Here is a 15666-nt window from a genome sequence, read left to right as displayed (position 1 = left end):
CTGCTGAAGTGCTTTCCAAAGTGACTGTTCCATTTTGCATTCCCACCAGAGTTCCAGATTTTTTTAATCATTTGCTCATTCTAATAAATAGTGCCCAAGATTAATTTTGCCTGTTCTAGAATGTCAAATGGAGTCATTTACATGGCTTCTTTTGCTTAGCATAATGTATATAGAGTTAGTCCATGTTATTACACATACCAGTAATTCATTTTTTTTTTTTACTGCTGAGTAGTATGCCATTGTATAAATATATATCTCTTCCTTTATGCATTCATCTCTTGATGGACATTTGGGTTGTACAGAAACAGGCAGTTACAAGCTCCTCCGTAGTTTCTTGTCTTTTTGTTGTTGTTAGCCTTGCTGAATCAACACCTTGCACAATGAATGTGCTATATTCTCTGGATCAAAAACAAGTAAAGACTGTATTAAGTTGGCGGATGGTCATTTTTCCAGCTAAAAGCAAGAAAAATCAAAATTTCTGATTAAACAGAGGAATTGCCTTAGAACCACTCTCTAAAGTGGAAAATTGATAGCCTGCAATCTCAAATAGCTAAAATTTCTGCAGTTTGGGGCCACTATGAATAAAGCTGCTGTGAGTGTTCTTGTATTAGTCTTTTTGTGGACAACTGCAAGAATTCTCTTGGGGATATAAGTCAGAGTAGAATTGCTGGGTCACAGAGTAGGTGTATGGTTAACTTTATTAGAAACTCCTACACCCAATTTTATATGCTTTTTCTTAAAGAGGACCCCTAAAAATGTGTAAGCTTAAGGTCTTGTAAAGCTGAATAGTCTCCCCACACATCATGAGGCCAAAGACACAGACAAATCCCCTTCCAGTGAGTTAATCAGAGTACACGTGGCAATGGTAAATGTCATCAGTCTTCTTTTTCTTGGAGGGCAGCATCCTGCTGGCAGTTGCAACAAGCTCTCCCACAAACACGGTAGGCCAGGGCTGGGTGTTTAGAACCTGTGCCCTGCAGTCAGCTCATCTGCACATCCTAAGAGAAGGGACAGTTGCCCAGGACCTTTACCCTGACTGGTTAACTCTCAGTTAATTGGATATTGAATTAATAGACCTTTGGGGTCTTGATATATCTGAATCATGGCATCAGTTCTCATCTTCACTTGAAAGGTGTTGACAGAGGCTCAATACGTCAGTAACATATATTTGGGACCCACGTTCTTTCAATTGCCAGGAAATCCAGTGCCCACCTGTTTGTGCATTGCAGCAGAAGACACACTGAGGTGTAGGGATATGTGGGGAAAGGTCTTTTTGTGCAGACAAGCCTGTCTCCACCACCTCTGAGTGAAGCCTGGGCAACAGACTTGCCTTAGCTAGAGGCTTCCTGCATTTGCCAGAATGCTAAATACTTCCTCATCCCTGGCCAGTCCTAACCACAGGTCAGCTTGTTTCCCAGCTTTGCTGGATCACTTTGCACGTGGTTCATTTCAGAAAACGATCCAGTGATGAAAGACATGAAGTTCTCCTATGATTATTGCTACCCCCTGTGCATAAAGAGAACGCTCACCCCACAGTGCCTTCCAAAGAACACAACTCTCATGCTTGGGAACCTGATGACAATGGTCTAATTAACCCACTAGGGGCTCAGACAGGTTTGAGTCAGTGTGAATTTACCTGGGCACTAGATTTTCAGTTAATCCTATCAAAACTTGTAGTCTGGGAGTGGGATAAAATTACAAATCCAAACATTTACACAGATGCCTTTTTTTTTTAGCCCTGCCACAAAGCCAGGATTGCATTTACATCTTGTAACAAAATCACAATTATCACAGACCAACCCTGTTAGAAATGTAAGACCAGGATATTGAGAGAGAGAAACAAAAAGGGGGAGAGAAGCAGAGAGAGAAAATGAATGAATGGAGCTTAAGTGAGGAAAGGAAAAAGCCCATGGGGAAGGGCCCAGCGGCAATCAGCAGAGAACAGCAGGCCTGTGTTCAGCCCATGTGGTTATTTTCTGATTGTGCTGGGTCGTTCTAATCAGATTTTCTGCTCTCTCGCTATCCATCTTATTAGGCTCTTTCTATATGTGCGGCTTAGTGTTTCCTAGCAGTCACAAGATGATTCAAAGCAACAACCAACAAAGCCACTTTCGTAGGACAGTATTTATAAGGTTTATTCCAAGTCAGGGCCTCTTTGATTCTGAATAAATGAAAGGATAGATTTTCTTTCTCTTGAACTTAAGTCTCAGGAGAAATCTAGTTTTCATGCAAATTTAATTATAAAAATAGTTTCTTGATTAATCAAAAAAGCTCCCCTGGGTAGACCCTGATCTAGTAACATTCCTTCAACATAAATAAATATTACTCAGACTGCTTATGTGCCAAGTGCGGGGCCAGCCAGTGGGCATAGAATAATAGATGGAATGATGGACAGAATGCATACAGGCTGCACCTATTAGCGTTTATGGTCTTGGCCACAGAGAAGAAAATGCTTTTCTCTCTTGGAAAAGTGCACAGGCAGTAGAGAGACAGGAAGTAATCTTTTGTATTGTTCTTGCTCTGCCAAAGGCAAAGTGACATTAGGAATTTTTTTTTTTCTTGACAGCCAGTGGTGGTTCCTGCTTGCCCAGTACATAGAACAGAATACTTCAGTGAAGTATTGATGTAAACTACTTTTGAAAACAAAGTAAAGTGACACAAGGTCTTCACACAGCCTTTCTGTACCTTTAAACTTGGCTATTTGGAGCCATAGGAATGATGGAACAATCTGTAAAAATAGCATTTTAAATAAAATGTATTCAAGTCTAGGACAATTGTATTACACATTGCACACAGGGCTATCTTATTTCAGATTCCATGACAAGCAAAATATGGCTATTTAGCAGAGGAGGCAAATTCTACCCTATGGCTAAGAACTGAAGTCTAAATGGAATGTGAAAAGGAAATTCAACTTCTCTTTAAATGCCATCTACAGATGGTTTCTAGCATGCCTTCAGCTATTTTACAATGTCATCCACTGAACAAGAACTTTTTGAAGACCATGTATGTAAGTATTTAGAGACACTTCTAAGAAACATATCCTTATAAATATCCTTTACTTGCTACTAAATCCAGCTATTACTAAGACAGAACTTCTCATTATTTGCAAAGAGGAAAAAATCCTGTTTACCTGTGAGTTCTTCTTTTTTCAGAACCTATGCCTCAGAAATAGGATTGCCTCATGTCTAGCACTTAAGACTGTGGAGTCCGTGCGTGTTTAAAATAGAGGGGGAAAGAGAAGGGTGAACAGGGCCAGAAGCTGACCTGCTTTGGGAGACAACCTTCCAGGAATGGCAAGTTCATGCATTGATCCAGCTCTCTGTCAACGAGATAACATATGTCAATGTCCAGTTACTATGTGACAGGGATTGGGCTAGACCCTGGAGCCACAAAAACAGAAAAACCACCCTTGAACGGTTCAAATGTTCTTTCTAGAAAAGGTTGCATGGCTCTGAGAGTCTATCCTCACATCCTCTACTCCTGTAATGAGGGCCCTTGCCAGCTCCTCCTCTTTGCTCCACAGTGTCTGGAATCTTCTTTAAGGGGTTGCCAGAAGGCCAAACACTCTCAGGATATATTCTAGATTTTGTTCCCCCAAAAAGAGATTGGCAAAGCAAATATGAACCCTGTAATGGAGGGAAGGGGAGGCCTGTGCACTCATGATCTCTTCCAGTATTTACACAGGCCAAGAGCTCAGTGCACTCTGCACGCTGGTACAGAATGATACCTCACCTCTCTGTTGCAGGGAAACTGAGGGGGGTGGGGATGGGGAACTAGTCCTAGAGGCATCTTCATTAATTAAATCCTGCCTCTTAGTCCTTGTTTTCTTACCTGCGTGAAAGTCAGATTGGCCTTCCAACTCCTCCTTTCTTAATTGTCATTATCTGTGTTTGCTGCCACAATTCCTAACACTTCTGCCACCTGCTCCAGGACTCTCAGGCTTTCCAAATCAAACCCACTCCTCTTCAGATCCCTCCACCACCCTTCTAGCTTCTTCCTGTACCTCCATTTGATTACAAACAGCCTACCTGGTTATCAGACTTTTCTTTGTGTATATCGTCCACTAACATTTGTTTTTATTTTTATCCTCCATGACAGTGCAGAATCTCTCTAGTGGTACCATTCTCTCCATTTCTCTCATCCTGTACCCCATCATCACGCCCTAGGCACAGGTCAGCAAATACCTTACAGCCACCTGCAGATCATTGTCCCATGCCCTCCCTCCACAACTGGAGGAATTTCCCTTCTTTGTTGATCCTACTATTTAACTATGGCATCCTCTCACTAGCCTCTTCTCTGAGCCCCCAGGTTTCCATTACGCTCAGTGATGTTTCTCTAGGAATTAGCAATGCCTGACTCAAGCTACTTATCAAATACTTGAACTCCTAGTTCAAGCCCCAACAGAGCAATAGAAAATTCACTACAGTGGGGCCAAAATGGCTGATTAGAAGCAGCTGGGTCTGTAGCACTCAAGGAGAGAAATGAAAGAGACAAGTGAATTCAGCACCTTCAACTGAAACATCCAGGTTCTCGCACTGAACTGACGAGGCAAACAACTCGACCCATGGAGAACAAAGAAAAGCAGGGTGGTGGGATGGCACACCTGGGAGCGCACGAAGCCAAAGGAACCTCCATCCCCAGCCAGGGGAAGTGGTGAGTGATTGTGCAACCCCTCCGGGAAACCATGCTTCTCCTACAGATCTTTGCAACCTGCAGATCAGGAGATCCCTTCGTGAGCCCACACCACCAGGGCCTTGGGTCCAATACACAGAGCTGGTGGAGTCTCAGCAGAGCTGAGACTGTTCAGGCACACCTAGAAACCAAGGAGTCTTACATACCTCAGCCCTAGGATCCCTGGCGAGGCGGCAGATCCGTCCATACATACCTCCAGGAATGGGGCTGAATACCGGGAGCCAAGCAGTGTCATTCTGTGGGCCCTAATTCCATGGCACCTCACAAGTTAAGACCCACTGGCTTGGAATTCCAGCCAGCCAACAGCAACAGGCTGGAGTCTACCTGGGAGGGGACTGAGTTCCCCCAGGGAGGGGTGGCCGCCATCTCTGGGGTTTGGTTGACTCAGCCATTCTAGCCCGCTGGCTTGGAGAATCCAAACGGTCCTGACAAGGAAGGGTCCCCACAGCACAGCACAGCACAGCTGCGTTGCCAGATTGTGGCCAGACTGCTTCTTTAAGAGGGACACCGATCCACTCTTCTTCACTGGGCAGAATCTCCCTGCAGGGGCTTCAGCCACTCCAACCAGGGTTATATGCACACAGCTCTGATCTCTCCCTGGGATGGAAGTCCCTAGGAGACGGGTGGCCACCATCTCTGTGGTTTGGTGGACTCAGCCATTCCAGCCTGCCAGCTTTGGGAGAATCTAAACAGTCCCGATGAGGAAGGGTCCCCCTCAACACAGCACACCTGCTCTACCAAAAAGCAGCCAGAATGTTTCTTTAAGAGGGGCAAACCACACAACTACATGGAAATTGAACAACCTGCTCCTGAATGACTCCTGGGTAAATAATGAAATTAAGGCAGAAATCAAGAAGTTCTTTGAAACTAATGAGAATAAAGAGACAACAAAACAGAATCTTTGGGACACGGCTAAAGCTGTGTTAAGAGGGAAATTTACAGCACTAAATGCCCATATCAAAAAGCTAGAAAGATCTCAGGTTAACAACCTAACATCACAACTAAAAGAACTAGAGAACCAAGGGGAAAAAGAAAAAAACCCAAAGCTAGCAGAAGACAAGAAATAACCAAGTTCAGAGAGGAACTGAAGGAGATAGAGACATGAAAAGCCCTTCAAAAAAAATCAACAAATCCAGGAGATGGATTTAAAAAAAATTAATAAAATAGATTGCTAGCTAGACTAATAAAGAAGAAAAGAAGAATCAAATAAATACTATTAGAAATGATAAGAGGAATATCACCACTGGCCTTACAGAAATATAAACAACCAGCCGAGAATACTATAAACACCTCAATGCACATAAACTACAAAATCTAGAAGAAATGGATAAATTCCTGGACACATACATCCTCCCAAGACTGAACCAATAAGAAATTGAATCCGAATAGACCAATAACAAGTCTGAAATTGAGGTGTAATAAACAGCCTACCAACCAAAAAAATCCCAGGACCAGATGGAGTCACAGCTGAGTTATACCAGGGGTACAAAGAAGAGCTGGTACCATTTCTACTGAAGCTATTCCAAATAATTGAAAAGGAGGGACTCCTCCCTAACTCATTCTATAAGGCCAGTATCATCCTGATACCAAAACCCGGCAGAGATACAACAAAAGAAGAAAGCTTCAGGCCAATATCCTTGATGAACATCAATGCAAAAATCCTCAATAAAATACTGGCAAACCAAATCCAGCAGCACATCAAGAAGCTTATCCACCACAATCAAGTTGGCTTCATCCCCAGGATGAAGGCTTGGTTCAACATACACAAATCAATAAAAGTAATTCATCACATAAACAGTCCTAAAGATAAAAAATACATGATTATCTCAATAGATACAGAAAAGGCTTTCGATAAAACTCAACATCCCTTCATGTTAAAAACTCTCAATCAACTAAGTGTTGAAGGAACATACCTCAAATGAATAAGAGCCATACATGACAAACTCATAGCCAATATCATACTGAATGGGCAAAAGCTGGAATCATTCCCCTTGAAAACCAGCACAAGACAAGGATGCCCTCTCTCACCATTCCCATTCAACATAGTATTGGAAGTTCTGGCCAGGACAATCAGGCAAGAGAAAGAAATAAAGTGTATCAAATAAAAAGAGAGGAAGTCAAATTATCTTTGTTTGCAGATGACATGATTCTATATCTAGAATACCCCATCACCTCAGCCCAAAATCTTCTTAAGCTGATAAGGAACTTCAGCAAAGTCTTAGGATATAAAATTGATGTGCAAAAATCACTAGCATTCCTATACACCAACAACAGTTAAGCAGAGAGCCAAACCATGAATGAAATTCCATTCACAATTGCTACAAAAAGAATAAAATACCTAGGAATACAGCTAACAAGGGAAGTGAAGGGCCTCTTCAAGGAGAGTTACAAACCACTGCTCAAAGAAATCAGGGAGGACACAAACAAATGGAAAAACATTCCATGCTCATGTATGATAAAAATCAATATCGTGAAAATGGCCATATTGCCCAAAGTAATTTATAGATTCAATGCTATTACCATTAAACTACTATCGACATTCTTCACAGAATTAGAAAAAAAACTATTTTAAAATTCATATGGAACCAAAAAAGAGTCCAAATAGCCAAGACAATCCTAAGCAAAAAGAACAAAGCTAGAGGTGTCATGCTACCTGACTTCAAACTATACTACAAGGCTACAGTAACCAAAACAGCATGGTACTACTACAAAAACAGACACATAGACCAATGAAACAGAACAGAGAACTCAGAAGTAAGACTGTACACCTACAACCATCTGATCTTCCACAAACCTGCTGAAAACAAGCAATGGGGAAATGATTCCTTATTTATTAAATGGTGCTGGGAGAACTGGCTAGCCATATGCAGAAAATTGAAACTGGACTCCTTCCTTACACTATAAACAAAAATTAACTAGGGATGAATTAAAGACTTAATTGTAAACACCAAAACTATAAAAACTCTAGAAGAAAATGTAGGCAATACCCTTCAGGACATAGGCATCATAAAGATTTCATGATGAAAATGCCAAAAGCAATTGCAACAAAAGCCAAAATTGACAAATGGGATCTAATTAAACTAAGGAGCTTCTGCACAGCAAAAGAAACTATCATCAGAGTGAACAGACAACCTACAGAACGGGAGAAAACTTTTGCAATCTATCCATCTGACAAAGGTCTAATATCCACTCTACAAGGAACTTTTAAAACAATTTTACAAGAAACAACCCCATTAAAAAGTAGGCAAAGAACATGAACAGACACTTCTCAAAAGAAGACATACATGCAGCCAACACACATGAGAAAAAGCTCAACATCACTGATCATTAAAGACATGCAAATTGAAACTACAATAAGATACCATCTCATTCAAGTCAGAATGTCTATTATTAAAAAGTCAAAAATAACAGATGCTGGTGAGGTTGCAGAGAAAAAGGAATGCTTTTACACTGTTGGGGGGAGTGTAAATTAGTTCAACCATTGTGGAAGAGAGTGTGGTGATTCCTCAAAGACCTAGAGGCATGGATACCATTTGACCCAGCAATCACATTACTAGGTATAATCTCAAAGGAATGGAAATCATCCTATTATAAAGATATTTACACGTGTATGTTCATTGCAGCACTATTCAAAATAGCAAAGACATGGAATCAATCTAAATACCCATCAGTGATAGACTGGATAAAAAAAATGTGGTACATATACACCATGGAATACTATGCAGCCATACAAAGGAACGAGATCGTGTCCTTTGCAGGGACATGGATGAAGCTGGAGGCCATTATCCTTAGCAAACTAATGCAGGAACAGAAAGCCAAATACTGCATGTTCTCACTTATAACTGGGAGCTGAATGATGAGAATACATGGACACATGGGGGGAACAATACCCACTGGAGCCTGTCTGGGGAGGAAGAGTATCAGGAAGAATAGTTCATGGATGCTGGGCTTAATACCTAGGTGATGGGATAATCTGTGCAGCAAATCACCATGGCACACATTTACCTATGTAACAAACCTACACATCCTGCACATGGACTCCTGAACTTAAAAGTTGAAGGAGAAAAGAAAGAAAAAGGAAATTCACTACAGCAGGAGCCACACCTTCCATTTGCAAACACCTCTATCAATGAGAAATGTTTTAATAAGCTGAAGCCTGTGTTCCTATCATCAGTGTTAATTGTCTAGTCCTGCTTTTTGAAGTTCTATAAAAGAAATTAAATTGCTTTTCTTGTATCACAGCCCTTGGACCATTTGGGAATTTTTATCATATTCCTGCTAAGACTTCTCTACTGCAGGCTAACCAACTCCAGGGCCTTTTAGTTTTGTGAATATAACATATTATAAGGTTTCTTCACTCATATAATTGCTCTCCCCCTGAATATTCTCCAGGCTTTGCATGTGGTAAGACTGTATATATAGTTTTCAGTGTGATGTGATCAGTGGTGCTATCCCTTCCCCTCCAGAAACAGTTTTTCCATGAACACAACCTAAGAACACATCAAGTCATTGTGGTGGTACTGATGGTGATTATGGTGGTAACAGTGGTGGTGATGATGGTTGTGGTGATGGTAGTTGTGGTGGTTGGGATGGTGAGGAGGGTGATGGTAGTGGTGGAGTTGGTGGTGTGGTGGTGGTGTTGATAGTGGTGTGGTATCTTCATCTTCGGTGATAGTCTCAGTAATCATGTAATACTCTTGACTTAGTGAAATTAAGTAAAACTAAAAGCTTGTTTTGCTGTTACTAAGTCACATCTCCATCATCTTTTTAATCTACTGTTGTCTTTTGGACCAAGATCAAGACTACTGACCGTATGTTGGTAGATTTGAGCCATCATTTCAACCTAACAAAGGTCAATGTAGATCCTGATTTTGTCACTGTTTGTTCACCATTCTTCCCAGCTTTGGTTCATCTGCAAATTAATGATCATGTCTTCTATATCTTTATCCAAGTTTCTGATTAAATGTGAATCAAGCAGTGTTAAAGTTAGAGGCCTATGAAAAGACACTAAAGAGTGTCCTTCAGGGTAACATTTATCTATTAACCAGCATCCTTTGGATAAAATTGTTCAATTCATCAATTTTAATGTACCTCATTTTTCTTCTGTTCCATTCCCAAGGCTATCATGAAATTTGGATGCTCTCTCTATATGTTGCATTTCTTCTTTGTACCAATTTAATAATCAAGGCCCCCCCTTGAAAAAAAATTAGTTTGATATGACTTTATTGTGTTGCTATAAGATAATACCACAGACTGGGTAATTTATAAAGGACAGAAGTTTAATTTCTCACATTTCTGGAGGTTAGGAAGTTCAAGATCAAGATGACAGCATCTGGTAAGTATTGCTCTCTACTTCCAACAAGGTATCTTGAATGCTGAGTCCTCTGAAGAAGAGGAACATTATGTCTTCACACGGCAGAAGGCAGAAGGGCAAAAAATGGCACACTCCCTCCATCAAGCCCTTCTACAAGGAGACTTCCTAGTCTCATTCTTGAGGGTGGAGCCCACATGACTCAATCACCTCCCAAAGCCCATATCTCCCAGTAATGTTTCATTGGGAATTATGTTTCAACATAAATTTGGAGATGACTGAAACATTCCATCTACAACAGACTTCTTTTTCTTTTTCCATAGGTTATTGGGGGCACAGGTGGTATTTGGTTACATGAGTAAGTTCTTTAGTGGTGATTTGTGAGATTTTGGTGCACTCATCACCTGAGCAGTATACACTGCACCCTATTTGTAGTCTTTTATCCCTCACTCCCCTCCCACCCTTCCCGCCAAGTTCCCAAAGTCCATTGTATCATTCTTATGCCTTTGCATCCTCATAGCTTAGCTCCCACATATCAGTGGGAACATACGATGTTTGGTTTTCTATTCCTGAGTCACTTCACTTAGAATAATAGTCTCCAATCTCATCCAGGTTGCTGCGAATGTTGTTAATTCATTCTTTTTTAAGTCTGAGTAGTATTCCATCATTATATATATATATATATATATATATATATATATATATATATATATATATGTATGTATATACATGTATGTGTACATATATATGTATGTGTATATATGTATGTATACATATATATACGAGTAAAGAAACTGATATATATGTATATATGTGTGTATATATATGTATGTGTGTGTGTGTGATATATCTCACAGTTTCTTTATCCACTCGTTGATTAATGGGCATTTGAATTGGTTCCATGATTTTGCAATTGCAAATTGTGCTGCTATAAACATATGTGTACAAGTATCTTTTTCGTGTAATGACTTCTTTTCCTCCAAGTAGATACCCAGTACTGGAATTGCTGTATCAAATGGTAGTTCTACTTTTAGTTCTTTAAGGAGTCTCCACACTACTTTCCATAGTGACTGTACTATTAACATTCCCACTAGCAGAGTAGAGTGTTCCCTGATCACCACATCCACACCAACATCTACTGTTTTTTGACTTTTTATTACGGCCATTCTTGCAGGGGTAAGGTGGTATCACATTGTGGTTTTGATTTACATTTCCCTGATCATTAGTGATGTTGAGCATTTTTTTTCCATATGTTTGTTGGCCATTTTTGTATCTTCTTTTGAGAATTGTCTATTCATGTCCTTAGCCCACTTTTTGATGGGATTATTTGTTTTGTTTTTTTTTTCTTACTGATTTGTTTGAGTTCGTTGTAGATTCTGGATATTAGTCCTTTGTCAGATGTATAGATCGTGAAGATTTTCTCCCACTCTGTGGGTTGTCTGTTTACTCTGCTGACTGTTCCTTTTGTCGTGCAAAAGCTCTTCAGTTTAATTAAGTCCCAGCTATTTATCTTTGTTTTTATTGCATTTGCTTTTGGGTTCTTGGTCATGAAATCCTTACCTAAGCCATTGTCTAGAAGGGTTTTTCCAATGTTATCTTCTAGAAATTTTATAGTTTCAGGTCTTAGATTTAAGTCCTTAATCCATCTTGAGTTGATTTTTGTATAAGGTGAGAGATGAGGATCCAGTTTCATTCTCCTACATGTGGCTAGCCGATTATCCCAGCACCATGTGTTGAATAGGGTGTCCTTTCCCCACTTTATGTTTTTGTTTGCTTTGTCAAAGATCAGTTGGCTGTAAGTATTTGGGTTTATTTCTGGGTTCTCTATGCTGTTCCATTGGTCTGTGTGCCTATTTTTATACCAGTAACATGCTGTTTTGGTGACTATGGCCTTATAGTATAGTTTGAAATCAGGTAATGTTATGCCTCCAAATTTGTTCTTTTTGCTTAGTCTTGCTTTGGCTATGGAGGCTCTTTTTAAGTTTCATATGAATTTTAGAATTGTTTTTTCTAATTCTGTGAAGAATGATGGTTGTATTTGATGGGGATTGCACTGAATTTGTAGATTGCTTTTGGCAGTATGGTCATTTTCACACTACTGATTCTACCTATCCATGAGCATGGGATGTGTTTCCATTTTTTTGTGTTGTCTACAATTTCTTTCAGCAGTGTTTTGTAGGGTTACTTGTAGAGGTCTTTCACCTCCTTGGTTAAGTATATTCCTAAGTATTTTCTTTTTCAGCTATTGTGAAAGGCTATGAGTTCTTGATTTGATTCTGCGCTTGGTCGCTGTTGGTGTATAGAAGAGCTACTGATTTGTTTACATCAGTATTGTATCTGGAAACTTTGCTGAATTCTTTTATCAGTTCTAAGAGCTTTCTGGAGGAGTCTTTAAGGTTTTTGAGTTAAACAATAATATTATCTGCAAGCAGTGACAGTTTGACTTACTTTTTACAGATTTGGATGTCCTTTATTTTTTTCTCTTGTCTGATTGCTCTGGCTAGGACTTCCAGTACTATGTTGAAGAGGAGTGGTAAGATTGGGCATCCTTGTCTTGTTCCAGTTCTCAGAGGGAATGCTTTCAACTTTTTCCCATTCAGTATTATGTTGGCTGTGGGTTTGTCATAGGTGGCTTTTATTACATTGAGGTATGTCCCTTGTATGCTGATTTTGCTTAGAGTTTTTATCATAAAGCGATGCTGGATTTTGTTGAATGCTTTTTCTGCATCTATTCAGATGATCATGTGATTTTTGTTTTTAATTATGTTTATGTGGTGTATCACATTTGTTGACTTGCATATGTTAAACCATCTCTGCAACCCTTGTATGAACCCCAGTTGATCATGGTAGATTATCTTTTTGACATATTGTTGGATTCGGTTAGTTAGTATTTTGTTAAGCATTTTAGCATCTATGTTCACCAGCAATATCTGTCTATAGTTTCCTTTTTTGGTTATGTCCTTTCCTGGTTTTGGTATTAGGGTGATAATGGCTTTATAGAATGACTTAGGGAGGGTTCCCTCTTTCTCTATCTTGTCGAATAGTGTCAATAGGATTGGTAACAATTCTTCACAGCAGACTTTTTCAATATTTGTGATCACCAGATTCCTTTCTCACCGCCATCCTGTTAATAATTAATACTAGAATCTTACTTGGAATCTATACACTTCCCAATGATCTTTAGTGAAAAAATGCTGCTTCTTCATTTTGAGAACCAGAATCACATTTGTCCATTCCACTTTTTAATACCTTTCCCCTCTACAATTCCCTCATTGGAGAAACAATTCATTCCTCCTTGGAGCCTCAGAGCTCATTGAAACCTCGTGAAACAGCTCTTGCTCTGCCTTCTATTAAGGTTGTTTATTTAGATAGACATCATATTCCTTTACCCCCACCCCCAAGATATTCACACTTGATTATACATTCCTTGGTAACAAAAGACATTGCTTTTTTTTTTTTTTTTGCAGTGCCTTACACCATATATTTTCCTGCAGTGCCTTACACCATATATTTGAAAGACTGAATTGAACTAAAGTGCACAAAGGAAGAAAATTAGTTTTATCTATGCAGTCTCAAAATTATTTTTGGTCAAATTGGATTTTTTTCATCTATCTTAATGTCTAATTTGTTCATAGTTGAATCAGTCTTGCAGTTAATCTGATGTGGCCGTTAAGACTACTGAAGACAGTAAATTCATTTTCCTCATCTGGTGATTTTTAATCATATAGTCACAACCACTCACACAGAAAAATAAAACAGCAGACTAAATAGCAAACTAATAGCAGAATGATGAATGGAATTATCCCTAGGCCCAAAGGCTATTATACATAATCTACAGTCTCTGTCTAATTCATTCATTCAGCTTTGATTCAACACCCTTTTGTTAAGTGACAATAATAGTTACCAGTTACTGAATCCTTCCTATGGGCTAAGCACTTGAATAAGACAGTAATGTGGTGGCTACCAATATCGGGCTTGCCTTGAGTCCTGGCAACACCAGTTATTATTTGTGCAACCATAAGCCAGCTACTTCATTTTAAAACAAGTTATCATAAATATTAGTTATACCACTATTGTTAAAATATATTATCTCATTGAATCCTCACAACAACCTTGTGAGCCACTTTAATTTCTTCCTACTTTAATAATTTGCAAGGTACTGGGTGCTGGATGCTGTAGGATTTATAGAAATGACCACGTCTATAAATGACCTGATCCTGCCCTCAAGGACTTTACAATGAAGTAAAAAGGACTGAATTTTACATAATTAATTATAATCAAAAGCAGAATGAAATATTTCCCATAGCAATGTGAATGCAAAATGTTGGAGAGCACAGAGGATTCAACGGATGATGGCTTTATATAAAAGGTAGAATATGAGTTGAAACTGGAGGGGTGAAAAGGATTTGCAGAGTCATAACAGGGGTAAAGGACAATCCACAAAAGTGAGGGAGCCACAAAAGCAAAGCATGGCAGCATAAAAAAGCATTAGGGGTGCAATGCTGACCAGGGAGTGTTTCTCAACCTGCCGGCTGTAAGAATTATTTTACTGTGGCCCTACCAGGATTATTTTTGTATATGGAGTATATCAGCAAGACAATTAGAGTGCATCACACATAGAAAAGTTAAGGTTGGTTTTGTGAAATTTTTTTCAATGATATGTATGAGTATTGGGTCATAATGTAAAACATACTTCTTATTGTGGGTTGTGGTCTAATAAGTGGGGAAGGCGCTCATCTAGAGAGGTTGGAACCTAAGTCATGAAGAGAGATGGATTGTGGGGATGAGGCTGGTGTCCTAGAAAAATCATGTCTAGAAAAATAACGCTGTGGGATGATGTATTTACATTTTAGATGAAGAATGGAAGAAAGGAAACAAGTTAGGGAAAGCTGCAACAGTCTGTGCCAGCACATCCCAAATTGCTGTGAATCAAGCCTGTTCTGGGAGTTATTAGTAGGCATGAGGAGGGGAAAGTCTTTGGGTGAGCAAATACAGGCATTGTAACATGTAGATACAAGTGGGTCTATGGTAAAGCTAAGGAAGCTAAATCTTCTTGTTTTCATAAGTCCCTTCCAAGGCTCTGTTCTGAATTTTGTGTTCATAATTCTGTGTTCTTTTTCTTAAAAAGGACCTTCAGATTGTATAAACTTTGATACCCATCAAACGTGAATCTTCCTCAGCTTGTATATAAATTTAAGTAGGTGGCTTTTTCACAAAATAGGGCTTCTCAGAGACTTTAAGCTACTGATGTGCAGGCCGGGAGCGGTGGCTCACGCCTGTAATCCCAGCACTTTGGGAGGCTGAGGCAGGCAGATCACAAGGTCAGGAGTTCGAGACCAGCCTGGCCAACATAGTGAAACCCTGTCACTACTAAAAATATAAACATTAACCGGGCATGTGCCTGTCGTCCCAGCTACTCAGGAGGCTGAGGCAGGAGAATCGCTCTGTTGCCCAGGAGATGGAGATTGTGGTGAGCCAAGATCATGCCAGCCTGGGCAACAGAGCGAGAGACTCAGTCTCAAAATATATATACTCGGTCTCAGTATATATATACTGATGTGCATTTTGAATACCCCTGAGATAGTAATATTATACGTTCTCCTCTTTCCTCAAACTCCCACACCTCTCCCTTAACCCTTCCTCTCAACTGTCACTCACACCTC

This window comes from Homo sapiens, chromosome 2 (assembly GCF_000001405.40).
Source record: "Homo sapiens chromosome 2, GRCh38.p14 Primary Assembly".
Classification (NCBI taxonomy): domain Eukaryota; kingdom Metazoa; phylum Chordata; class Mammalia; order Primates; family Hominidae; genus Homo; species Homo sapiens.
Note: the sequence above shows the minus strand (reverse complement) of the source record.